This window comes from Homo sapiens, chromosome 16 (genome assembly GCF_000001405.40).
Source record: "Homo sapiens chromosome 16, GRCh38.p14 Primary Assembly".
Classification (NCBI taxonomy): Eukaryota; Metazoa; Chordata; class Mammalia; order Primates; family Hominidae; genus Homo; species Homo sapiens.
In genome coordinates, this window is record NC_000016.10 from 15950098 (window position 1) to 15976098 (window position 26001).

At 47.1% G+C, this 26001-nt stretch overlaps 1 protein-coding gene across 25 annotated transcripts in view, besides 5 other annotated features; it reads left to right on the forward strand.

Annotated features, from left to right (window-relative positions):
• Positions 1-26001, forward strand: part of ABCC1 (ATP binding cassette subfamily C member 1 (ABCC1 blood group)) — a 193911-nt gene that overhangs the window by 955 nt on the left and 166955 nt on the right. For 8 of the 25 annotated variants that reach the window (XM_047434131.1, XM_047434136.1, XM_047434144.1 and 5 more), the window contains exon 1: positions 20653-22256. The exons of the other annotated variants lie outside the window; for them this stretch is intronic. In XM_047434131.1, the coding sequence (XP_047290087.1) occupies positions 22050-22256 (207 nt within the window). In that variant the 5' untranslated portion in view covers positions 20653-22049. Of the gene's footprint in view, positions 1-20652; positions 22257-26001 lie in introns of those variants that run through there. 25 annotated transcript variants of the gene reach the window in all.
• Positions 8088-8588: an enhancer, noted in NCBI's record as "H3K27ac hESC enhancer chr16:16052042-16052542 (GRCh37/hg19 assembly coordinates)". NCBI's record gives its function as "activates a minimal SCP1, AML or CMV promoter by ChIP-STARR-seq in primed H9 embryonic stem cells {active_cell/tissue: H9 hESC(primed)}" and the evidence as "EXISTENCE:reporter gene assay evidence [ECO:0000049][PMID:30033119]".
• Positions 8589-9089: an enhancer, noted in NCBI's record as "H3K27ac hESC enhancer chr16:16052543-16053043 (GRCh37/hg19 assembly coordinates)". NCBI's record gives its function as "activates a minimal SCP1, AML or CMV promoter by ChIP-STARR-seq in primed H9 embryonic stem cells {active_cell/tissue: H9 hESC(primed)}" and the evidence as "EXISTENCE:reporter gene assay evidence [ECO:0000049][PMID:30033119]".
• Positions 20078-20717: an enhancer, noted in NCBI's record as "H3K27ac hESC enhancer chr16:16064032-16064671 (GRCh37/hg19 assembly coordinates)". NCBI's record gives its function as "activates a minimal SCP1, AML or CMV promoter by ChIP-STARR-seq in primed H9 embryonic stem cells {active_cell/tissue: H9 hESC(primed)}" and the evidence as "EXISTENCE:reporter gene assay evidence [ECO:0000049][PMID:30033119]".
• Positions 20718-21356: an enhancer, noted in NCBI's record as "OCT4-NANOG-H3K27ac hESC enhancer chr16:16064672-16065310 (GRCh37/hg19 assembly coordinates)". NCBI's record gives its function as "activates a minimal SCP1, AML or CMV promoter by ChIP-STARR-seq in primed H9 embryonic stem cells {active_cell/tissue: H9 hESC(primed)}" and the evidence as "EXISTENCE:reporter gene assay evidence [ECO:0000049][PMID:30033119]".
• Positions 21357-21996: an enhancer, noted in NCBI's record as "OCT4-NANOG-H3K27ac hESC enhancer chr16:16065311-16065950 (GRCh37/hg19 assembly coordinates)". NCBI's record gives its function as "activates a minimal SCP1, AML or CMV promoter by ChIP-STARR-seq in naive H9 embryonic stem cells {active_cell/tissue: H9 hESC(naive)}" and the evidence as "EXISTENCE:reporter gene assay evidence [ECO:0000049][PMID:30033119]".

Here is a 26001-nt window from a genome sequence, read left to right on the forward strand (position 1 = left end):
CCGTCTGTAAAAACAACCTTCCAGGGAAGGGGACGCTAGAGATGGGGGGCGGGAAGAGGGGTGTCTCTCTGCTTCTGTTTTCCCATCTTTTTTGTGGTTAGGGTCCCCCCTTTTCACGAAAAATACTCCGTGACCAACGGGGTGAGCTGGGGAGGGGCTTAGATTGTAGAAAGGGACTTTCATTGTCTCCCCAAAGTTGTCGTACAAGCCACATTACTCTTCTGTGGTTACCTAGCTTTGTTTTTTTTGTTCTTTCTACTTAGATACTGCGGGGGAAGTTTGGGGGAACCAGGGAAGAAGGGGGATGTCCACCCTTGATGTGCCCTACCTGACCCTCGGCTCGGGGCAGACTTGGGGTGCAGCTGAGGACGCCCAGGACCCTGGTAGCTGTGGTCCTGCCCTCCCTTCCCTGCAACACGTGGAGCTCCTCTCTGGGGATGCCCCTTAGATTTAACCCCGGCAAGTTTTCTTCTGTAACGTGGCCTGCGGAGCCTGACTGGGTGTCTGGAGTCCACTTGCTGTGGTTTAAGCCCCAGTCTTTTGGGCTTCAGCTTCTCCGTAATGCGATTTGCCTCTTTGTTCCAGGAAGGCAGGCACTTCTGTCTCGTGCTGTCTTGATTGTTGGTGAACGCAGTAGGCAAATCTGGACACGACTGTTTCTCTCTCCTCTTTTGTTTAGGAATCAGGAGAAACAGCCTTGGTTCTTAGGAGCTGGTGATCAGCTTCCAAAAATACTTTCTTGTCCTGTTTTGCCGGCCTTTCCTCGAGGGTTGCATTTGGAGTGTTGAAAAGTCATCCTCCAGGGCCCCATTGGAGGGTTTGGTTTTGTTTGTTTGTTTTTTTTAGTAGGGTATCATTGTGTTTAATAACCTACCACACTTTGATATATCTCCCATTTTAAGCCAGTGGGGTTGGAGAGTAACCCCAGGGGTGGAAATAGAACACAGACTTTGCCTTGAGGGTCTGGGGGTGATTGGAGCCTCTTTGCAGATGGACTTTCTTTAGCAGGGGAAAACCTGTGGCTTCCTTGTTGCCAGGTGTAGTAACAGCAAGATTATTTTTTGCAAAGATTCACATGGTGATCTGGGTTTGTGTTGCTGTGAATTCCAGAATATTCTCTTGTTTATTTTCTTCTGAATTGAGGAGGGGGCAAAACAGGGTGAACATCCATGAGGTTTTGTATCAGGACGTATTTTATTGATGGCAATTGGTAGTTGATGGCTAATGAGTATGTTTGGGGTGCGCTTTGTTTATCTTAAGAAACTCATTCACGAAGTCCAGTTGTAATATTTTTTAAAATTTTTATTTTCTTTTTTCTTTTTATTTTTTCCTTCGTTAAGGACTTTCTGCCACAGAAATTGCCAGGTGGTTGGGTTTTGCTTGGGGGTAATTGTAGCTGATCTCTGCCTCTGGTAGGTACCCCATCCCCGTGTTTGACCTTGCGTATTTCTGCTGTCTGGATTCCAAGACTTGTTGGAGGTGCCTTGGAACCAGAATTTGAGAGGAGGCAACTGGGGCCTGAGTGGGAAAATTGAAATATAATTAACTGAAAGCTAGAAAGTAGGTAGTTGTTGCTTTTTTCTTTTCTTTTTTTTTTCTTTTTCTTTTTTGAGACAGAGTCTTGCTCTGTCACCCAGGCTGGAGTGCAGTGGCACGATCTCAGCTTACTGCAATCTCTGCCTCCCCGGCTCAAGTGGTCCTCCTAACTCAGCCTCCCAAGTACCTGGGACTATAGGCGTGTGCCACCACGCCCAGCTAATTTTTGTATTTTTTATAGAGACAGATTCGCACTATATTGCCCAGGCTGGTCTCCTACTCCTGGGCTCAAGCGATCCTCCTGCCTTGGCCTCCAAAAGTGTTGAGATTACAGGCATGGGCCTCTGTGCCCGGCTGTTTTTGTGTTTTTCAAGGTAGCGTGTCCGAGGCCAGGAGCGACTGGCCTCCCAGGCAGTCAGATAACTGTGTGACCTTGAGCAAGCCACTTTCCCTCTGTGTGCCTCACTTTCCTCATCTCTAAAATTGGACAGGAGCCAAAAATGTGGCAGCCTTCTTGGGTTGTTGCGAAGGGTCAATGAGTTAATCTTGTAAGTGGCTCAGCTTGTGCCCTGCACGGAGATAAACAATGGTTAGTATTAAATATTATTTTTTCCAAAGATGAAGTTGTGTGTTTTAAGCTCCTTGTTCTTCCTTTGGATTCCCCTTTTCTTCAGCTGGTGGAGATGGGATTGGGCTGTGAAAAGGCAGTGAGGCACCCGTGCCTGGCTCCTGTTGTGACCAAGGTCATGTGCTTAGAAGTCAAGGTCAGTGGGCCTCGGGTGACTCTGTCAGAGCTTTGTTTCTGGGCTACTGTCTGCCTCTGAGCCGCAGGAAATGTCCAGAAAACCCAGAAGATGGAAATGGCCCATGATAAGTGTTCTGTTGACCTTTACTCAGACAGATGCTCTGGGAAGAGAAAAGGAGAACTTTGCTATCAAAACGGAAAATAGGGCCTGAGGACAGGTCACAGCAGCCCTTGGCTTTCTTTTCTCATGGGGGTGGGACTGGTAGGAGGCGCTGCTTTGTGGTTGATATTGGCATGATGGTTGGAAAAATGGGCCTGGGACTTTTTGTGAGTTCATTAAAAAAAAAAAAAAAAAAAAAAAAAAAAGCAGGCCGGGTGCAGTGGCTCACGCCTGTAATCCCAGCACTTTGGGAGGCTGAGGCAGGCGGATTGCTTGAGGTCAGGAGTTCGAGACCAGCCTAGGCAACATGGATTGACCCCCGTCTCTACTAATAATACCAAAAAAAAAAAAAAAGCCTGGCATGGTGGTGTGGCACCTGTGGTCCCGGCTACTAGGGAGGCTGAGGCACTAGAATCACTTGAAGGCTGTGGGGGTGGAGGTTGCAATGAGCTGAGATCACGGTCACTGCACTCCAGTCTGGGCCACAGACTGAGACCCTGTCTCAAAAAAAAGAGGGCCGGGTGTAGTAGATCATGCCTGTAATCCCAGCACTTTGGGAGGCCAAGGCAGGCGGATCACCTGAGGTCAGGGGTTCAAGACCAGCCTGACCAACATGGCAAAACCCCATCCCTACTAAAAATACAAAAATTAGCTGGGCCTGGTGATTCACGCCTGTAATTCCAGCTACTTGGGAGGCTGAGGCAGGAGAATTGCTTGAACCTGGGAAGAGGTTGCAGTGAGCTGAGATCACATCACTGCACTCCAACCTGGGCGACAGAGAGACTGTCTCAAAAGAAAAAAAAAATTGTGCTTCAGGCCCTGTGTAGAAAAATTGGAAATTATGGAAAAGCAGAGGAAACAACTTGGTATTAAGCAGTATAGTGTGGTGGCTCAGAGCAAATTCGCCTCTGCTGCTGAGGCAGGTTACGTCATCTCTCCGTGCCTCAGTTTCCCTATGTGGGATAACGTAGTACCTAGTGAATAGCGGTGACTTGAGGAATAAGTGAGTTAATCCTTAGCAAGGACTTAAAATGTTGCTGCTTGGCACACAGCGCTCAGTAAAGATCAGTGGTCGTTGCCACCTGGAATTCTCCAGTTAATTTTTGCTGTTGCACCAACTGCCACTGGAGAAGACCAGAAGGAAGCTGCAGGTGTGTGTCACCGTCGATGGAGTGAGCTGGTCCCAGGGTTGATGTGCACCTCTGAGATGCTCTGTGGCATCCACCAACTCAGTAACCCCCTGAATATCTGACTTAGCCGCCAAGGAAGAATATCTTAGAAGCTATTAGGAATTCCTCTTGGGGCTAGGTCTGGGCCTTGGAGTCAGTCTGATCCCTGGTTTAATTCTTCCCCTTGGCTCAACAGCAGTGTACGACGAGCCAATTTTTCCCCTCCTCCAAGTGTGGCTTTGGTTTTCAAATCCATCCCTTAGCCTTCTCCTACTTCCTCTGTTTTCCCCTCCCCACCCTTTTTTTTTTTTTTTTTTTGAGATGGTGTCTTGCTGTGTCGCCCAGGCTAGGGTGCAGTGGTGTGATCTCGGTTCACTACAACCTCTGCCTGCTGCGTTCACATGATTCCCCTGCCTCAGGCTCCCGAGTAGCTGGGATTACAGGCGCACAGCCACCATGCCTGGCTAAGTTTTGTATTTTTACAAAACTTTACAAAACCCCCATAGAGACGGGGTTTCATCATGTTGGCCAGGCTGGTCTTGAACTCCTGACCTCAAGTGGTCAACCTGCCTCAGCCTCCCAAAGTGTTGGGGATTGCAAGCGTGAGCCACCGCGCTCAGCCTGTTTTCCCCCTTTTTGGCTGCCCCTCCTTCCAGACCCTTCCTCTCTCCCTTCCTTATGGAGTGTTAGAGTGGAAAGGGATGTCAGATCTTGGGGGGCCCTCCTCTCCACCCACCCCATTTCGTGGATGTGGACACTGAGGTCCAGGATGGTGACATGACAGGGTGCAAGGTGGCAAGGTGAATGGCTTTGGGAGGAGATGAGGGTGACCCGGGAGAGGCCTGGGCAGGAGTGGACTCAGGGGTTCCTGGTCCAAATGGGTTCGTGATTCAGGCCAATCAGGAGCGGATTCAGGGTTCCTTGGCCAAATGGAGCCACTGCAGCCACAGGGGCCCTGCAGAAGGCAGCTGCAGCCGGTCCCTTTGGCCAAGACTCTCCTGAAGGGTCGTGTTCTCTTTCTCCGAGGACAAGTTCCATTTGTGATAGCCTGGAGGGGGTGCCTCGCCTTTGGGACCTGGTGGTAGATGGGGGGGAAGAAAACCTTTTCTGTTTGTGGACACAACTTTTAGGAACTGATCTCTCTATGTGGGTGTCTCCCACTGACCATGTTCCTAAAGAACGTGAGCTTCCTCTTCCCATGTCAGTCTCCAGCTTTGACTTCTCTTTTTCTCCTCCCATTCCTATCACATCTGTCAGCAAATCGTGTTGCCCGTTGCCTCAAACGGGCTGCTTTTCATGGCTTCCCCGACTTCCACTCTGGCTCGAGTCATCGTTGGCCAGTTTCTGGATTTGAACAGTCACCTCAGTCCAGGCGCCGTGGCTCATGCCTGTAATCCTGGCACTTCGGGAGGCCAAGGCAGACGGATCATTTGAGGCCAGGAGTTTGAGACCAGTCTGGGCAGAATGGTGAAAACCTGTCTCAACTAAAAATACAAAAATTAGCCGAGCCTGGTGGTGGGCGCCTGTAATCCCAGCTACTTGGGAGGCTGAGGCAGGAGAATCGCTTGAGCCCAGTGGGGTTGGAGGTTGCAGTGAGCCGAGAGTTCGCCACTGCGCTCCAGCCTGGGTGACAGTGAGACTCTGTCTCAAAAAAAAAGAAAACAGCCACCTGTTCGCTGCTGTGCCTACTCTGCCCTTGACCCCTACAGTCTAGTCTTGGCCCAGCTGTCCCTCTTCTACTAAAACCCTGCAGTAGTTCCTTGAGGGTACAAGCCAAAGGGCTTACAGTGGCCTCGAAGGCTGGGCAGCATCTGTCCCCTTGGCCTCCCTGACCTCTTCTCTGGCTGCTTTCTGTCTCACTCTCCTCCAGCCACACTTGTGGCCAGGCCTGTCCCTGCCTCAGGGCCTTTGCACTTGCTGTTTCTCCTACCTACTATGTCCCTCACCTTCAAACTTTGTTCAGGTGTCACCTCAGGCATCCCGTTCTTTCCCTCCACTAGCAAATCTCTGTCCCCCATCTACACCCCCAGTAGCACTTACTGCCTTCTAATACACGTAATATTTTGCTTAAGTATTGTGCCTACTCTGTAAACTCCTACCAAAAGATCGGCTCCATAGGGGCAGGGATTTTGGCCTGTGTTTGTTTACGGCTGTAATCCCAGCACCTAGAACTGTGCCTGGGGCTTAGTAAATAACAGTTGACCTTGGAACAATTCAGGGGTTAGGAGTGCTGATGCCCCATGTAGTTGAAAATTTAGGATGCAGCGCGGTGGCTTACACCTGTAATCTCAGCACTTTGGGAGGCCGAGGCAGGTGGATTACCTGAGGTCAGGAGTTCCAGACTAGTCTGGCCAACATGGTGAAAGCCCATCTCTACAAAAATTAGCCAGGTGTGGTGGCTCATGCCTGTAATCTCAGCACTTTGGGAGGCCAAGGCAGGCAGATCACTTGAGGTCAGGAGTTTGAGACCAGCCTGGCCAACATGGTAAAACCCTGTCTCTACAAAAATTAGCTGGGTGTGGTGGCGGGTGCCTGTAATCCCAGCTACTTGAGAAGCTGAGGCATGAGCATTGCTTGAACCTGGTAGGCGGACACTGCAGTGAGCCGAGATCGCGCCATTGCACTCCAGCTTGGGTGACAGAGTAAGACTCTGTCTAAAAAAAAAAAAACACAATAAAGGAAAGAAAATTCAGGTCTAACTTTCAACTCCCTAAAAGTTTAACTACTAACAGCTTACTGTTGACTGGAAGCCTTACCGAGAACATAAGCAGTTGATAACACTAATTCTGTTGTTGTTGGTTGTTTTTTGATAGAGATGGGGAGCTTGCTGTGTTGCCGAGGCTGGTCTCAAACTCCTGGCCTCAAGCTATTCACCTGCCTCGGCCTCCTAAAGTGCTGGGATTATAGGCGTGAGCCACTGCACTTGGCCTAACTCATACCTTGTATATATATTATATACTGTATTTTTACAGTGAAGCAAGGTAGAGAAAAGAAAATGTTAAGATTAATTCATAAGAGAGATTTTTACTATTTATTAAGTGGAAGTGGATCATCATAAAGGTCTTCATCTTCATTGTCTTCACGTTGAGGAGGCTAAGGAGGAGGAGGAAGGGGAGGGGTTGGTCTTGCTATCTCAGGGATGGCAGAGGCAGAAGCATAATCTGAGTATAAGTGGACCCGTGCAGTTTAAATGTGTGTTGTTCAAGGGTCAGCTGTTTGTTGAATAAATGAATGACATGAAGTATTACAGTGGCTTTTGGGCGGTGTCGAAACTTCTTTGTAAGGATTTTAAGGATGAAATAATCACTTAACTGTCTGGAATGAACACTCAGATAAACTGAGTCCTCCAGCTTTCTCATCAGATGGCTTGTTTTTTTATTTTATTTTTTTGAGACAGGGTCTTGCTCTGTCACCCAGGCTGGAGTGCAGTGGCGCGACCTCAGCTCACTGCAGCCTCAACCTCCTGAGCTCAAGCAATTCTCCCACTTCAGCTCCCCAGGTAGCTGGGACTACAGGCACACACCACCATGCCCAGCTAATTTTTTTTTTTTTTTTTTTTGTAGAGATAGGGTTTTGCCATGTTGCTCAGGTTGGTGGTGAACTCCTGAACTCAGGCGATCTGCCTGCCTTGGCCTCCCAAAGTGCTGGGATTATAGGTGTGAGCCACCGTGCTTGGCAGAACAGCTTCTATTTCATCTTGGAAAGGTCAGAACAGGGTTTTGTCCACCCCTCTTTTCCCAGGACTCAGTGTCTCACACACAGTGGGGGCTCAATCAACATTAGAATTTGAGTGTTTGAGGTATGAGTTCCAAGCTAGGGGTTAGATATAGCTCACCACTGTGCTGGTTTGGCTTGATTTTAATTATAGGAATGACTGTGATTTCCAATTTTATTTATTTATTTATTTGAGACGGAGTCTTGCTCTGTTGCCAGGCTGGAGTGCAGTGGCACGATCTTGGCTCACTGCAACCTCTGCCTCCTGGGTTCAAGCAATTCTGCCTCAGCCTCCCCAGTAGCTGGGACTACAGGGGCACGCCACCACATCCAGCTAATTTTTGTGTTTTTGATAGAAACGGGGTTTCCAGTATGTTGGCCAGCATGGCCTCGATCTCTTGACCTCGTGATCCGCCCGCCTCGGCCTCCTAAAGTGCTGGGATTACAGGCATGAGCCACTGTGGCCCGCCCTACAATGTTTATTCATTGGCAGATTTCACAGAAACATCTGGATTTCTGGCTTCCCTTGAAAAATCAGAAGTTCTGCTAGCCCCAGGCCCACATTTATACATGGTAGCGGTCCGCTGAGGCTGTCCGTTTCTGAGTTGCTCCAGTTTGCCGCAGTCCCCACCCCTCCCTGTTGTTGCTTTAATTTTAAGGCCAAATGTTTGTTGCCTTTGTTTTATTTTATATTATTTTTTTGAGACGAAGTCTCGCTCTGTCACCCAGGCTGGAGTGCAGTAGTGGAATCTCGGCTCACTGCAACCTCTGCCTCCCGGGTTCCAGTGATTCTGCTGCCTCAGCTTCCCGAGTAGCTGGGATTACAGGCCCGCACCACCACACTCGGCTTATTTTTGTATTTTTAGTAGAGATGGGGTTTCTCCATATTGGCCAGGCTGGTCTTGAATTCCTGAACTCAAGTGGATCACTTGAGTTCCTCAGCCTCCCAAAGTGCTGGGATTACAGGCATGAGCCACCGTGCCTGGCCTGTTGCCTTTTTAAAATTGTGCTTCCTCACACCTGGTCTGCTTCTTGCATGGATGGAACCCACTTTGGCACCTGTTGGTATCTGAGTTGGCATCTCCTGCTTTGCAGGCCAACCTTGAAGTTAGCATCTGATTGGTATGTTGGCTTCAGATTTTCATGGCGAAGTAAGGCCTAGCTTTGATGATCAGCTCTTAGTGTGGTCAGTACAACTCTAGCTCGTGAAAACTTGCCCAAACATTTTGCCAAAATTAATTAATGGCCAGACATCCTGAGGCAAGCTTCCCCCCGCTTAGCAAGAAAACTGGGATAGGGCAGCATCCCTGTGGGTGGAGTGGTGCTGGGGACCTGCACTTACCTCTTAGAGGCTGAATGGTTGAACGGGGCCTTTGAGGAAGCTGTATTTTGCGGGTGGGGACATGGAGCACAGTTGCTCAGTGTCGGCCCCGTTGACATGTAGGCCACATCATTCTTTGTGGCCTGGTTGCTGTTCTGTGCAGCGTAGTCTTAGCCCCAAACCTGGCCTCTACCCCCTAGTAGATGCTGGTAGCACCTCCTCTTGTTGTGACAACCGAAAATGCCTCTAGATGTTTCCATATGTTCCCTGGGGTGTGAAATCACACAGCCACTGGTGTGGAGGAATATGGGGGAGAAACATGGAGCAAGACCTTCCTCCTCATCCTGCATTTCCCTAGGAGGTTGTGGGCTGTCGAAATTCTAGTGTAATTGGCTTACTGGGGTTGCCTTGGAGAAGCTTAATGAGACGTTAAGGAGGTTAAACTCCAATTAGCTAGAGAAGAAACTTGCGGCAGTTTCTTTTTTACTGAGGGCTGTGTCTTTTTACCTTTTTCCATTTTCCCAGTTGGAGTTGTGACAGTTCATTCTCCCCTGGGAAAACAAAAATGGCTTTCTTTTTCTTTTTCTTTCTTTTTTCTTTTGAGACAGGGTCTCCCTCTGTCACCCAGGCTGGAGTGCAGTGGCACAATCATAGCTCACTGCAGCCTCGACCTCCTGGGCTGAAGCTATCTTCCCACCTTAGCCTCCCAGGTAGCTGGGACCAGAGGTGCACACCACCATACCCGGCTAATTTTTGTATTTTTTGTAGAGTCAGGGTCTCACCATGTTGCCCAGGCTTGTCTCAAACTCCTGGGCTCAAGCGATCCTCCTGCCTCGGCCTCCCAAAGTGCTGGGATTACAGGCGTGAGCCACCATGCCCAGCCGAAAATGGCTTTCTTGAGAGATCAGCTTTGAAGCTCTACTCCTTCATTTTAAAGTGCCCCAGGAGAAGTGGACGATTACAAAGTTGAGATTCCACTTAAGTGTCCCCTTAGTTTAACTGTGGGATTCATCTCCTGGGGAGGTTGCCAGGTTCTGGAAAGTGGGTGTTAATGACCAGGGAGGGTGCCCCTAGGCTAGCATCCTGTAACCCTCAGGAATTGAGATTTTTATGGAGGTTTTCTCTTCCTCTCTGTGAGTTTTCTCTCTGAGAAACCTGTCTAGGGAGGGAGGCTCTAGGCTAGCATCCTGTAACCCTCAAGTAGTAATTGAGATTTTTATGGAGCTTTTATCTTCCTCTCTGTGAGTTTTCTCTCTGAGGAACCTCAGTGTACCTTTTACTGGCCTCCTAGGTAATACTTGTTTGGAGAATATGTGTGATGTCTAAGTCTTCCCAGTACAAGAAATTTGTGTGGTGTTTGACTGATTGATGGATGGAGTCTTGTTCTGTCGCCCTAGCTGATTGTACCACTGCACTGCAGTCTCGACCTCCCAGGCCAAGTGACCCTCCCAACTCACCCTCCCAAGTAGCTGGGACTACAGGCATGCACCAGCACACCCGGCTAATTTTTGTATTTTTTTTTGTAGAGATGGGGTTTCACTATGTTGCCCAGTTTGGTCTTGAACTCTTGAGCTCAAGCAGTCTCCCAGAGTGCTGGGATTACAGGTGTGAGCCACCACGCCCAGCCTCGTGTGGTCTTTGATACCCCTGGGTTCATTGTATTGTTCTTCCCACACTGCTTTTCATTCATTCATTTATTCAGTCATTATTAATTGAGCAGCTACTATGTGCTGCTGCTGCTCTAGGCACTGAGGATACAACAGTGAACAGGACAGACCAGGCCCATGTTCTCATGGGGTTTACACTGAGGGTGACGGAAATGATTTCAGATGCTGGCAAGTGCTGCAAAGACTTGAACCGGGAAAAACTGGGTGAGGTGCAAACTACTACGGAGGGATGTCCACAGAAGGCCTTTCGGAGGCGGTGAGGTTTGACCCCAGAGCTCAGTGGCAAAGCTGGCCATGCAAGGATGTGGGGGAAGGGAGTCCCAGAGTGGGAAGAGAATGTGCATAGGCCTTGAGGAAGATCATGGTGTGGTTAAAGTATTGAGGAGTTTAACTCAAAGGAACTGCAGAGCCCATCTCATAAAAATCTAGCCTGGAGCATTCGGCAAAATGCATAAAGCACTAACACAATGGCTTGTGGTCCTGGAATTTCCAGGGAAGGCGCTTACCAGCTCAGCAAGGAAGTAGAACAATGCATGGTCCCTGGCAGAAGCAAGAACCTTCTGATCTGTTTATGTTTGAATGAAACGCAGGTTTTTTTTTTTTTTTTTTTTTTTTAAAATAGATGGGGGTCTTGCTATGCTGCTCAGGCTGGTCTCGAACTCCTGGGCTCAAGCAATCCACCCACCTTGGCCCTTCCATGTGCTGGGATTACAGGCATGAGGCACTACGCCCTGCTGAATCTCAGGTCTTAAAAATTCAGTTTATTTTGTTTTATGAGTCTCTTCTCTTTCTCAGAACCTTAACTGAAACGTTTGTGATCAAGACCAACTTGGGTTTCCCCACTCCCCAGTTGCCTTTGATTCTCCGCCAAAGGCTTGTTCGTAAGATGATGAGGTACTTTTTTCCTGTGGTTAAGAGGACTTTCTATAGGTTGCTAGAAAACTCTTGTTTTAAAACAAGATGTTGTTGAATTGATCTGGCTGATTGCAGGAGGAAGATCTTGTACTGCAACTTTGTTGATGATGCTAATACTTTAAGGTGAATATTCTAGAAGAATATAAAGGGAAAAATAAAAGTTTTAGTATGTTCCCACCCTGCCCTTTGTTCCCAGAAGTAGCCGTTATTGATGATGGTTGTTGATGATAGTTTCTTGGGTGTTTTTCGAGAAAAGTTTCAAGTATATGCAAATGTATGTGCAAGAACGTGTTCGTTTGTGTGTATATGTTTACATATTCATTTTTTCCCTCCCTAGTTGGGTATTTTAAATACTGTTTTGTCTCTTGTTCTCTTCACTTAACCAGTGTTGATTTTCTTGCCATTTTAAGCCCATGCAAATTGAAAGTAAAAGCCAATCAAATCAACTTTTTTTTTTTTTTTTTTTTAAACAAGCCACGCATTTGCCTGTTAAATGGCTGAGCCATGTATTCACCCATTCCCCTCTTGGTGTCTATCAAGGTCATTCCCAGTTCCTGGTTTCTTGCTGTGATAAGCAGTGCTGCACTGAAGGCACATGTATGCAAATATATGTAAATGATTCAGCAGAATAAATTTTCCCACAGGAAATTGCTAGGTTGACAGTATGTGCATTTTGAAATTTGATAGTTAATTGTCAGGTTACTGCAGCAGTTTATACTCCCACTAATGGGCCCACCAGCACTTATTAAGCACCTGTTGTTTTCCTGCCATATCAGAAAAATTGAGCAAGCTGGGAAGTGATCAGGCCCATGTTGCTTGGCTGTGTGTGAGAGGGCTTTGCCCAGTTAAGTTAAACCTTACTTTCCAGAGGTCAGGAGATCAAAGCAGAAGTGTGCTTTGGTTTTGTTCAGTTTTTTAAAAGATGTGTTTAAATTTTAAACATCTTTGGACTTATTTTAAAAATTGCTTTTAAATCAATAATTTAACAATGTGTAAAAACATTACTGATAGTCTCACCATGCTAATGTCACTCTGATTTTTACACCTAAACTAATTTAATTGCAGAGTTTTCTGATCACAAGTGACATGTGTTCCATATGACAGAACAAACAATACAAAGATATTTAAATAAAGCCTGAACATGGTACTGATATTAGTTTGTTCATGCTGCTATGAAAAAATACCTGAGACTGCGTAGTTTATAAAGGAAAGAGGTTTAATTGACTCACAGTTCTGCATGGCTGGGGAGGCCTCAGGAAACTTAAAATGATGGTGGAAAGGAAAGCAAACATGTCCTTCTTCACATGGTGGCAGGAGACAGAAGTGCAGAGTAAAGAGGAGAAAAGCCGGTATAAAACCATCAGATCTTCTGAGGACTCACTATCAGGAGAACAGCATGGGGGAACCGCTCCCATGATCTAATCACCTCCAGTGAGGTCCCTCCACCAACACGTGGGGATTACAATTAAGATTACAATTCAAGATGAGATTTGTGCGGGGACACAGAGCCGTGCCATATCATTCTGCCCCTGGCCCCTCCCAAATCTCATCTTTCTCATATTTCAAAACACAATTATGCCTTCCCAACAGTTCCCCAAAGTCTTAACTCATTTCAGCATTAACTCAAAAGTCTATGTCCAAAATCTCATCTGAGACAAAATCTAGTCTCTTTCACCTATCAGCCTGTAAAATCAAAAGAAGTTAGTTAGTTCCTAGATACAATGGGGGTACAGGCATTGGATAAATACACCCGTTTGAAATGGGAGAAATTGGCCAAAACAAAGGGGCTGCAGGCCCCATGCAAGTCTGAAATCCAATAGGCCAGTCATAAAACTTTCAAGTTCCATAGTTATCTCCTTTGACTCCGTGTCTCACATCCAGGTCACACTGTTGCAAGAGGTGGGCTTCCACGGCCTTGGGCAGCTCTGCCCCTGTGGCTTTGCAGGGTATAGCCCCGCTCCTGGCTGCTTTCACAGGTTGGCGTTGAGTGTCTCCGTCTTTTCCAGGCACACGATGTAGCTGCAGGTGGATCTACCATTCTGGGTTCTGGATGGTGGCCCTTTTCTCACAGCTCCATTAGGCAGTACCCCAGTGGGGACTCTGTGTGGGGGCTCTGACCCCATATTTCCCTTCTTTACTGCATTGGTAGAGGTTCTCCATAAAGGCTCCACCCCTGCAGCAAACTTCTGGCTGGACATCCAGGCATTTGCATACATCCTCTGAAATCTAGGTGGAGGTTTCCAAACCTCAGTTCTTTAGTTCTATGTACCCACAGGCTCAATACCACATGGAAGCTGCCGAGGCTTGGGGCTTGCACCCTCTGAAGGCACAGCCTGAGCTGTGTACCTTGGCTCCTCTTAGCCATGACTGGAGTGGCTGGGCACCAAGTCCTAAGGCTGCACACATCAGGGGGGCCCTGGACCCAGCCCAGGAAACCGTTTTTCCCTCCTAGGCCTGTGATGGGAGGGGCTGCTGTGAAGGTTTGTGATATGCCCTGGAGACATTTTCCCCATTGTCTTGGAATTGGGCTCCTTGTTACTTTTGCAAGTTTCTGCAGCCGGCTTGAATTTCTCTTCAGAAAATGGGTTTTTCTTTTTACATTGTCAGACTGCAAATTTCCACACTTTTTTTTTTTTTGAGATGGAGTCTCTCTCTGTTGCCCAGGCTAGAGTGCAATGGCATGATCTCGGCTCATTGCAACCTCTGCCTCCTGGGTTCAAGCAATTCTCCTGCCTCAGCATCCCGAGTAGCTGGGATTACAGGCACCCGCCATCATGCCTGGCTAATGTTTGTATTTTTGTAGAGACAGGATTTCACCATGCTGGCTAGACTGGTCTCGAATTCCTGACCTCAAGTGATCTGCCCACCTTGGCCTCCCAAAGTGCTGGGATTACAGGCGTGAGCCACTGCGCCCGGCCAATTTCCACCCTTTTATGCTCTGCTTCCTCTTGAATGCTTTGCTGCTTAGTAATTTCTTCCCCTAGATGCCCTAAATCTTCTCTCTCAAGTTCAAAGTTCCACAGATCTCTAGGGCAGGGTCAAAATGCTGCCAGTCTCTTTGCTAAAGCATAGCAAGGATCAGGAGAACAGCATGGGGGAACCGTCCCCATGATCTAATCACCTCCCATGATGTCCCTTCCCTAATATGTGGGGATTCCAATTCAGATTACAATTCAAGATGGGATTTAGGTGGGGACACAGAGCCAGACCATATCAGTAATCTCTTGGGCTAACCAATAACCAATGTATTCTTGTATTTTTTCTTTGAAATTTTATAAATATTTATAAATTTAAATAACATTTAAATCAAAATGGATTATGTTGTAATCATTACTCTGCCAGTTTTTTTTTTTTAATTTTTAAATTTATTTTTTGTAGAGACAGGATCTCCCTATGTTACCCAGGCTGGTTTTGAACCCCTGGACTGAATCGATCCTCCGGCTTTGGCCTCCCAAAGTGCTGGGATCAAAGTTTGTTAATTTGATAGCTAAAATATATTTTCATCTGCATTTCAATTACAATTAGAAGCTATGTATCCTGCAACATATTTTCCAGCAATTTGTGTATTTTCAGTGTGTCTTTCTGAGTCCTTTTTGGGTATGCCTGGACTAGTTTGTCTTTTTCCTGTTAGTTTGTAAGGGCTCTTGTTATTGTGGGACCTTTCCTCTTTGTCCATCACCTGTATTGTATAAATATTTTGTTACAGGCTATTGTTTTCCTATTGGCATATTAACATTTGAGTCTTGTTCTTACTAGTATGTAGTTTTGCAAGGTTGCATTTGTAGCTTGCATACTGTCTCCTATGTTTTTATTTACTGTAATAAGTATTTTCCCATGTACCCACGTAACCTTTTTAATTAAACCTATAAATGTCCAATCGATAGTTCCCTGTGTTGGTGGGCTATAATCACATAATTATTATCTGTGGTTTGACATTTGGGTTGCTGTGTTTTCTTTCTCCTTTTTTTTTTTTATTATTATTTTTGAGACGGAGTCTTGTTCTGTCGCCCAGGCTGAAGTGCAGTGGTGCGACCTTGGCTCACTGCAAGCTCCGCCTCCCAGGTTCACGCCATTCTCCTGCCTCAGCCTCCCAAGTAGCTGGGACTACAGGCACCTGCCACCACGCCTGGCTAATTTTTTTGTGTTTTTAGTAGAGACGGAGTTTCACCGTGTTAGCCAGGATGGTCTTGATCTCCTGACCTTGTGATCTGCCCACTTCGGCCTCCCAAAGTGCTGGGATTACAGGCATGAGCCACTGTGCCCAGCCCCTTTCTCCCTTTTTAACTTTTTTGAGACAGCATCTTATACCATCACCCAGGCTGGAGTGCATTGCGCAATCTTGGCTCCCTGTGACCTCTGCCTCCTGGGTTCAGGTGATTCTCCTGCCTCAGCCGCTGGAGTAGCTGGGATTACACATGTGTACCATGATGCCTGATTAATTTTTGTATTTTCAGTAGAGATGGGGTTTCACCATGTTGGCCAGGCTGGTCTCGAACTCCTGACCTCAGGTGATCTGCCTCCCAACGTGCTGGGATTACAGGCGAGAGCCACCATACCCAGTCATTTTTATTTTTCTTTTAAAGAAAACACTGTCCTGAATACCACATGGGTAGAGTGCGTATTGGCTTATTTCCTTAGATGATGTTCTCAGGAGTGGAATGAATAACATCTGAAAAGGCTTCACTCTAGCCATTGTCTTATTTTCTAAAAGTGAGCTGGCCCAGCTCACCGTTCTAGCAGGGTCTAAGGTTACTTACTGCTGTGGTTATTATTCAGAGTGGACGATGGTGCATGTTAATGTCAGGCACAGCAGGGCGCGGTGGCTCACGACTGTAATCCTAGCACTTTGGGAGGCCGAGGTGGGCGGATCACGAGGTCAGGAGTTGGAGACCAGCATGACCAACATGGTGAAACCCCATCTCTACTAAAAATACAAAAATTAGCTGGCGTGGTGGCAGGCACCTGTAATCTCAGTTACTCGGGAGGCTGAGGCGGGAGAATTGCTTGAACCCAGGAGGCGGAGGTTGCAGTGAACTGAGATTGTGCCACTGCACTCCAGCCTGGGTGACAGAGAGACTTTATCTTAAAAAAAAAAAAAAAAGTCAGGCTTTTCTAGGGTTCCTCCATCAGCCTTGTAAGGCTGGAGACCCGTGGCCAGGAAGAAAATTGGAGCTGTCTGGCACTGGGAAGGGTAACCCAGTAGTTATAATTAGGTTGGCTTATCTGCGAGCCCTTTGATAAGGCTTCACTAATTTACTAACCCAGGATCGCATGTTAGATCAGGATCTCTCTGAGTGCTGCAATTGTAGTTTGCTTTTCTCTCTCTCTTTTTTTTTTTTTTTTAGAGACAGAGACTCACTCTGTTGCCCAGGCTGGAGTGCAGTGGTATGATCATGGCTCACTGCAGCCTTGAACTCCTGGCCTCAAGCGATCTTCCTGCCTTACCCTCCCGAGTGTCTTGGATTATAGATGCTTGTCAACATGCCCAGCTAATTTTTAATTTTTTTTAGAGATGAGGTCTTGCCCTGTCACCCAGGCTGGAGTGCAGTGGCATGAACATAGCTCACTGCAGCCTTAAACTTCTGGCCTCAAGCAGTTCTCCTGCCTCAGCCTTCCAAAGTGCTGGGATTACAGGTGGGCACCACTGTGCCTGGCCTGCAGTGGTTTAATAGGGCTCTTTCATCTTTAACTTTGGTCCCCTGCCCCCTGAGATCCGTGGAGTGAGCCGTTTGACGCTTGGTACTTGGGACAAAGCTGGCCTATGTCCAGTTCTCTGCATACTTGGTAGGGGAGTGTTTGGAGAAAAGGCTCACCTCTGAGTCACACCCTCTATATTCTCCAAAGGGCCATGGGGATGGGGTGGAGGAGGCTGGGGTGAAGAGATGTTGTAGCTCCAGAGAAAGCCAGGGAGGTGTATGCTGGGTGAAGAGGCCAAGTTCAGGAGCCTAGGTTTGAAAATCAGTATAGACGATTCAGGTTAATTCACCCTGTTGTTATAGAGCATCTGTCTGTAGGGTGGCCAGGTCTGGGTGAGTCTCTTGGACAAGATGGGTATCAGGTTTCAGCTCTGAAATTGGACTGATATGTGGGGAGATTCATTCTGCAGTTTTATTTGTAGTTTAGGTTTAAGAAAACTTGGACTGGGCACTGTTGCTGTCGTCTGATCCCAGCACTTAGTGATGCTGAAGTGGGAGGATCACTTGAGCCCAGGAGTTTGAGACCAGCCTGGGCAACAGAAAGACCCCATCTCTACAAAATAATAATAATAATAATTATTATTATTATTATTAGCTGGGCATGATGGGACATGCCTGTAGTCCCAGCTACTCAGGAGGCTGAGGCGGGAGGTTTGCTTGGTCCTGGGAGGTTGAGCTGCAGTGAGCTATGATTGCACCACTGCACTCCAGCCTGGACAACAGCATGGCACTGTCTCCAAAAAAAAAAAAAACAACAAAAAAAAAACTTGTTTAACTACCTAAATCATAGCATTTGTGTGAAGCCAGACTATCACAACTCTGAGAACTGCTGACATATACATATTTTGGAAGTTCCAGGTTTTCTGTTACTATAAACATGGTAGAGATTGAATTACTTAAAGGGACGTCTTTTCTCCTACTCTTTGTCTTGTCTGATGTTATAAGGGGTACAGTATAGAATGAAAACAGTGCAGAAATGAGTGAAACATGAAAATCCCTTCTAGAGATAATTTTCTTTTATTATTTTTTTGAGACGGAGTCTTGCTCCATTGCCCAGTCTGGAGTACAGTGATCTCGGCTCACGGCAACCTCCACCTCCCAAGTTCAAGTGATTCTCCTGCCTCAGCCTCCCGAGTAGCTGGGGTTATAGGTGTGTACCATGCACCACCATGCCCGGCTAATTTTTGTATTTTTAGTAGAGACAGGGTTTGCTGTGTTAGCCAGGCTGGTCTCGAATTCCTGACCTCAGGTGATCCGCCTACCTCGGCCTCCCAAAGTCCTGGGATTACCGGGGTGAGCCACCATGGCCAGCCTCTTCTAGAGACAATCTTATTGGCAGGTTGATGTTTTTAATTTTCAGCCTCTCTTCTCCACAGATCCTAAAGATATAGTAATTTTTTTTTTTGAGACAGAGTCTTGCTCTATTACCCAGGCTGGAGTGCAGGTGGCGTGATCTCTGCTCACTGCAGCCTTCACCTGCCGAGTAGCTAGGACTGCAGGCATGCACCACTATGTCTAGCTAATTTTTGTATTTTTAGTAGAGATGGGGTTTTACCATTTTGGCCAGGCTGGTCTCAAACTCATGACCTCAAGTGATCCACCTGCCGCAGCCTCCCAAAGTGCTGGGATTACAGGTCTAAGCCACCGTGCCCAGCCATAAATACATGGTATTTTTTAAGAACAAGAACGGGATTCTACAAAAACATATATATGTGTATTTTGAGACAGGATCTCCTCTGTTGCTCAGGGTGGAGTGCAGGGGCACGATCATGGCCCACTGCAGCCATGACCTCTCAGGCTCAAGCAATCCTCCCACCTTAGCCTCTGGAGTAGCTGGGACCACAGGTGCCCACCACCATGCCCAGCTAATATTTTTTCTTTTTTTTTTTTGTATTGAAAACAGTCAGCCAGGTGTGGTGGCTCACACCTGTAATCTCAGTACGTTGAGAGGCCGAGGTGGGCAGATCACTTGAGGTCAGTAGTTCAAGGCCAGGCTGTCCAACATGGTGAAACTCCATCTCTACTAAAAATACAAAAATTAACTGTGGTGGCGCTTGCCTATAATCCCAGCTACTGGGAAGGGGGAGGCATAAGGATCACTTGAACCTGGGAGGAGGAGGTTGTAGAGAGCCAAGATGATGGCACTGCACTCCAGCCTGGGCAACAGAGCAAGACTCTGTCTCAGAAAAACAAAACAAAACATATAGTCTTTATTTTTTTGTTTGCGTGGGCTGGTGCATCTTGATTATGATGCATTTTTGTTAATTGATATTTAATTGCAGATGAAATGTAACATGGATCTGAGTAATTGCTGATAATTGTTTCCTCTTTAGGCAGCTGGTCAGTCTTTTTTTTTTTTTTTTTTCTTTTTAAGAGAGTTTCTGTCTTGTTGCCCAGACTGGAGTGCAGTAGCGTGATCTCGGCTCACTGCAACCTCCTTTGCCAGGGTTCGAGTGATTCTCCTGCCTCAGCCCCCCGAGTAGCTGGGATTACAGGCATGTGCCACCACGCCCGGCTACTTTTTGTATTTTTAGTAGAGACGGGTTTTGCCATGTTGGCCAGGCTGGTCTCAAACTCCTGACCTCAGGTGATCCCCCCTGCCTCTGCCTCCCAAAGTGCTGAGATTACAGGCTTGAGCCACTGCTCCCAGCCCATAGTCTTTTTTTTTTTTAAACCTCTGTGTACAGGTAGGTCCTGGGGAAATTCGAGGCAAGACTTGGGTGAGTGGGTATCTTAGACCCTCTCAGGAGCTCTTTGCAGGAGGTAGAATCTCCGAGGGTCAGTGCCCATGAATGGGTCCCATGGCCTGACTGGTCCCATTCAGGTGACAGTCTCTGAGGGTCCTGCATAGCCCTTACCTGGGCTCCATGCTGGGAATCGAGCGGTATACAGAGCATGGTTCCCTGCCTTCCTTGAGCCCCAGTCTTGTTGGGGAAATGGCCAAATAAATGAATAATCATCAGGAAGTGCTATGAAGGGGAGCTGCGTGGTGCCCGGTGAGTGCAATAGCGGGGTTTCATCTGGTTGGAGAGAAAAAAGGAGACTCCTTAAGTGGGGAACCCGTTTGATGATACAGGTTTGGCTATGTGTGTCAAAGACCCCAAATATAGTGGGTTAAGATACAAGCTCATTTCTCTCTCATGTAAAAATCCCAGCTGGTGTGGCAGCTCTGTCCCCAAAATAATCAGGGTCCCAGGCCCCTCCCATCTTGTTGCTCTGCTGTCCTCATCTGCATGGATCAAGATGATGCATCTCCATGTCCACATGGCAGCCAGTAGGAAAGCAGAGTAAGGGCACAACCTGGAGGTTGCCTACGTCTCTCCTCGTCACATCCCATTGGCTTGTACCTAGTCATGTGGTGCCTCTAGCTGCAAAGGAGGCTGGGAAATGTAGTTTCCTTTCTAAGCAGGATGTACCCAGCTGAAGATGTTACTCAGGGATGAGGGAGAGTTGATACTGGAGCGCAGCTAGCAGTTTCTGCTGTATAGGCAAAAGCAGAAGGTAAGAATGTTCTGGGCAGTGGGAAATGCATGTGCAGAAGCACTGGCTTAATGAGGAAGGCCACTGTGGCTGGAGTCAAAGAGTAGGGAAGAGAAAAAGAACCAGAAGGAGGCTGAGAATTGGGCCTGTAGGACTTGGATCCTGTGGGAAGCCTTGGCAGCTTTCTTTCCCCCCTCCTTGCTTAGGCATTAGCTCTAAGACAGGGATATTTACAACACAATTATTTCTTTAAAATTATATATATATTTTAATTTGTACAGATGAGGTCTCCCTGTGTTGTCCAGGTTGGTTTCAAACCCCTGAGCTCAAGCCATCTTCTTGCCTCGGCCTCCGAAAGTGTTGGGATTACAGGTGTGAGCCATTATACCTGGCCTTCAACTCAGTCCCTAAAGACAACTCCTTCTCAAGTGTTGGAAAGAACCAATGACTAATCACTTCTAGTCTGCCTTATCCCCATCTTGCTTGTGTGACTTTGGTAAGAGTTTGTTTGTTTATTTAAAGGAGCAGAGAGTTTAATAGGCAAGAAGGGGCAAGAAAGAAGGGAGAATAAGATCCCCTGTATAGAGACGGAGGAGGGCTCCAAAGCTGAGAGAGGGAACCCCAGCTGCCACAGATAGCAGCTAGGTATATGTACAGAGGCTGGAAGAGGCAGTGTCTGATTTGCATAGGCCTCAGGGGATTGGTTTGACTAGGCATGTCTTTCACGTAGCGCATGAAAAAGCTGGCCCTCCCACCTAGCCTTTTAATATGCAAATGCAGGGTACCATGATCTGCACACTTGGGGAGGTGTGGTGGCGGCCATGTTGCTAGGAACATGTGGGGAAAGGGCAAGAAGGCTGTGGGAATCGCCATGTTTGGGTGGACCCAGTTTCTAATGGCTTGCATTTGCATATCAAAGGTTGCTGGCCTGGCTCTAAGAGCCGGGGCTTTACAAGAAACTTTTCCGGAGTTGCTTTAAAAACCAAACATTTCCCAAGGACCCCTTTTCCTCTCTATTTGCCTAAAATAATTGCTTAACTCCTACATTACCCCCTGTGGAGATGCCACATTAACTGCTGTTAGGGGGTTTTGGGCGACGACTTCTTCTGGCTACTTCCTGGTGAAAAGGGGCGTTGAATGGGGAACAGCAGCTAGGGCTCCTCCTGGGGTGGATCTAAGGGTCCTCGGAAGAATGGCGTGTCCATGTGTGCTTCAGGTTACAGCACCATTTTGAGTTTGATTGCTTCAGTCTGATGAAATAATTTCCTTTCCTGGCCAACACACCAAAATGATACGGCTCCGATGAGTGGGGGAACACCAGGGTTCTTGGTCCTCATGCCGGTTTAGATAAAATGACACAGACACACGTGGAGTGGTTTTAAGGAGTGGAGAGTTTAATAGGCAAGAAGGAAGGGAGAAGGAAGAAGGTCCCCTGTACAGAGACAGAGGGTGGGGGGCTCCAAAGCTGAGAGACGGAACCTCCAGGAGTTGATTTTATAAATAAAATAACATGCGTTGAGGTCACTCTGTGTTGTGTGGTATGCCCAGCCCTCTCTGCACATAACTTGTTTCAGGCCCACAGTCATGCTGGGTGGTTGCTGTAATGACTTTTTATTTTAAATGGGGAATCTGTGACACAGTTAAACATGCGCAGGATCATGTCACTAGCAAGGAGTGGACACGGTATTCAAACCCAGCAGGTTGACTCAAAGCCTGCCCTTTCCCCAGCTGTTTTGCCCCTCAGTCATTTGAGTCTAGTCTTCAGGATTTTGACATCTATCTCTTACCTTGTATCTGTTAGGATTGCATCTGGCTTCAAGAAACAGCCCTACTTCAGCAGCCTAAGCAGAAAGGTATTCATTTGTTTATTTTTTACATGTCAGGAATTCCAGTACCTCTTGGAGTTGCTGGCATTGGATTAGTGATGCAGGGTTGTTAGGACTGACATCTCTGCTGTTTTCTTGTCTTTTCCTCAAGGCCCCTAAATGGCTGCTACAGCCCTAGGCAATATATCTGGGTTCAAGGTAGGAAGAGGGAGGGATTGCACCAGCCTCATGGGTTCCTTTCTATTCAGGAAAGTCCAAGCCTTCTTCAAAGGCTCTTCTGTCCACATTGCAGACTTCTGGTCATGTCTCCTTGGCTGAAACTGGATTACATGACCACCTCTAGCTGCAAGGGAGGCAGGAAAAATGAGCATTTGGTTTTATGCTTCTCTAGGAGGAAACAGCAAGGGAGAAACTTTTGAGTAAGCCAGCCAATATTGTCCAACATGTACTTATTTTTTAACTTTTTTTTTTTTTTTTTTTTTTTTTGAGGCAAGGTCTGGCTGGCTCTGTTGCCGAGGCTAGAGTGTGGTGGCACAATCTCAGCTCGCTGCAACCTCTACCTCCTAGGCTGAAGCTATCCTCCCACCTTAGCCTCCAGAGTAGCTGGGACTACCACATGCACCACCATACCTGGCTAATTTTTATATTTGTAGAGATGGGGTCTCACCATGTTGCCCAGGCTGCTCTTGAACTTGTGAGTTCAAGTCGTCTGCCCACCTCAGCCTCCCAAAGTGCTGGGATGACAGGCATGAGCCATCACACTCAGCTAATGTTTTTCTTTCAATCAATTCACTTTTTAAGCCTTAACAAAGTTATCGCAAAAGGAAGTTTCATATCACTTTAGAATGTCTTTGAAGTCACAGGTTGGTTATATTTATGTGCTTACTTTAATAGCTATTAAAGTAAATATAGCACTACTAAGAAAAAAAGATATTCTTTAAATCGCCTATTATCAGTGGTTCTTAACTCTGGATGATTTTGTCTCCAGGGGACATTTGGCAATGTCTGGAAACATTTTTGGCTGTCACGATGGGGCAGGGAGCGCACGCCTAGAGTCTAGTGGGTAGAGGCCAGGGGGTGTGCTAAATATCCTACAATACAGGATGGGCTCCATAATGAAAAATCCTCTGGTCCCAAATGTCAGTAGTACTGCAGTTGAGAAACCCTGGCATGGACGCAATCCACCTGCTGCCAGGAGTTATATACAAGCCATGTTAGGGTAATGCTGCAATATGTCCATCGTGATTGTGTTTTCTCCTGGGTGACTATCAGCAATGGTGTAGCCTGCTTGTTGGTTTTCAAGGTCCATTCTCAAGATACTATCAGATCTCCAGCAATCGTGTGATGCAGTTTAAAATGTTCATGTGAGCTGGGCGTGGTGACTCATGCCTATAATCCCAGCACTTTGGGAGGCCAAGGCTGGAGAATGGCTTGAGCCCAGGAGTTTGAAACCAGCCTGGGCAACATAGCGAGACCCAGTCTCTACACAAAATTAAAAAAAAAAAAAAATTAGCCCGGTATGATGGTGCATGGCCATGGTCACAGCTACTCAGGAGGCAGAGGTGGGATGATCACCTGGGCCTGGGAGGTTGAGGCTGCGGTGAGCCACGATTGCACCACCGTATTCCAGCTTGGGTGACAGAGTGAGACCCTGTCTCAAAAAAAAGAATGTGCATATGAATTCAAGATATGTCCCTTATAGAGACTGGTGAGGACACAGCTTATTGACCCTGAAGCTGAAGTGGTTGAAATGATAGCCCTCTTGCCAGGCAAATCCTATGTGAGTGCTTCTAAAAGAACACTGTACCTTGCAGAGAGTATTCCTGGGACCTGGCAGGAATCAGGGCCTCTTGGTGACCACATGCTTTGGAAAGGGCTGTGCTTTGGCAAGTGGGAGATTTTATTATTTATTTTCTCCTGTCTGCCTCGGTTTGGCAAAAACAAACCTGGCCTGGGCATGGGCCTTGTGGAGACAAGAAGGCAGCTTGAGATTATCAGAGATCAGGCTGCTGGTGGGTTTGCCTGAGCTGGCCTGGTCAGGTAGCTTGACAATGATGCTCAGACCCCCATTAAAGTTAATTGAGCGGTTACAGAGTGGGAGTGGGGAGTGGGGGGTGTGGTGACTGCCTGTCTCCTTGAGTTGGCGTGGCTAAGAAGTAAGGGAATTTTTTAACTTTTCCTTCTTAATTCTGGAAACTTAGAAAAAAGCCTCTCACCATCCCTTAATCATTCAGTTAGAGAGACCAGGCTGTTGATATGGACATGCTGCGTTTCATGGAATCCTAGAGGCCAGTATTTATGACATACTTCCCAGTTTCAGAGATGTTAGGATATAAAAATGTAGCCAGCAGTGTTTACAGGATGGGCTAATCGAGAGACACAGACAAATATCAAAGATAGCAAAATAGGAAGAAACAGAGTCTTAGAATCAATGCAGTATAATAATAGCTTCTAGTTTCTTTCTGTTTTTCTTTTTATGATACAGAGTCTCACTCTGTCGCCCAGGCTGGACTGCGGTGGCATGATCTCGGCTCACTGTAGCCTCCGTCTCCTGGGTTCAAGTGATCCTCCCATCTCAGCCTCCAAGTCACTGGGATTACAAGTTGTTTGCCACCATGCCCAGCTAATTTTTGTATTTTTAATAGAGACAGGGTTTCACCATGTTGGCCAGGTTGGTCTTGAATGCCTGACCTCAAGTGATCCCCCCCAGCCTTGGCTTCCCAAAGTACTGGGATGACAGGTGTGAGCCACCATGCCCAGCCTCCCCCTCACTCTTAAGCACAGCTCTTCGGCAGTCAGAGATGTTGCCTGCTGTATTTCTCGTTCTGCTTTTACACATGGTTTAAAAATCCTCGCCCAAGAATGTAAGCCCCATGGCTAGTGCTACCTGCTACCTTTAGGGGTGGCCTCTCCTGGGGTGCAGGAGGTTGCACAGTTCGTTTTGTGACAGCAGGGTCATTTTTTAATCGGATCATCTGCCCCAGTTTGCTTGGCTCTTAGGTGCTTGGGAGTTCTCCTGGTTTTTTGCTGTTGTGAAATGGCCCAGCTTGTACACGTTGTTCCTTTTCTTGCTGGAGTTATTTCCTTTAGACTCCTGTCCCTAAAGTAGGATTGTTGGGTGAAAATGGGGTATGCGTGGTTAGGCTTTTCTCTGCCTGCTTTCTGGATTGCTCTTCAGATAGATTTAATCACCTTTTATTTATGTTTTGTGGTGGTTTTTTTTGTTTTTTTTGTTTTTTTTTGTTTTGAGACTGAGTTTTGGTCTTGTTGCGCAGGCTGGAGTGCAATGGTGGGGTCTCGGCTCACAGCAACCTCTGCCTCCTGGGTTCAAACGATTCTCCTTCCTCAGCTTCCTGAGTAGCTGGGATTACAGGCATGCGCCACCATCTCTGGCTAATTTTGAATTTTTATTACAGACGGGGTTTCTCCATGTTGGTAAAGCTGGTCTGGAACTCCCAACCTCAGGTGATCTGCCCGCCTCAGCCTCCCAAGGTGCTGGGATTACAGGCGTGAGCCGCCACACCTGGCCACCTTTTATTTGTTGAATGAGTGTTTAATAAGCATGTCCTATATGCATCAGGAGAATTAAATGGACATGGTCTTGCTTTGGGGGGAAATGACAGGTAGGAGAGAAAGAGACACTTAGAACTCAACAGAGGCCAGACGCGGTGGCTTACGCCTGTTATCCCAGCACTTTGGGAGGCTGAGGTGGGCGGATCACCTGAGATCAGGAGTTCGAGACCAGCCTGGCCAAAATGGTGAAATCCCGTCT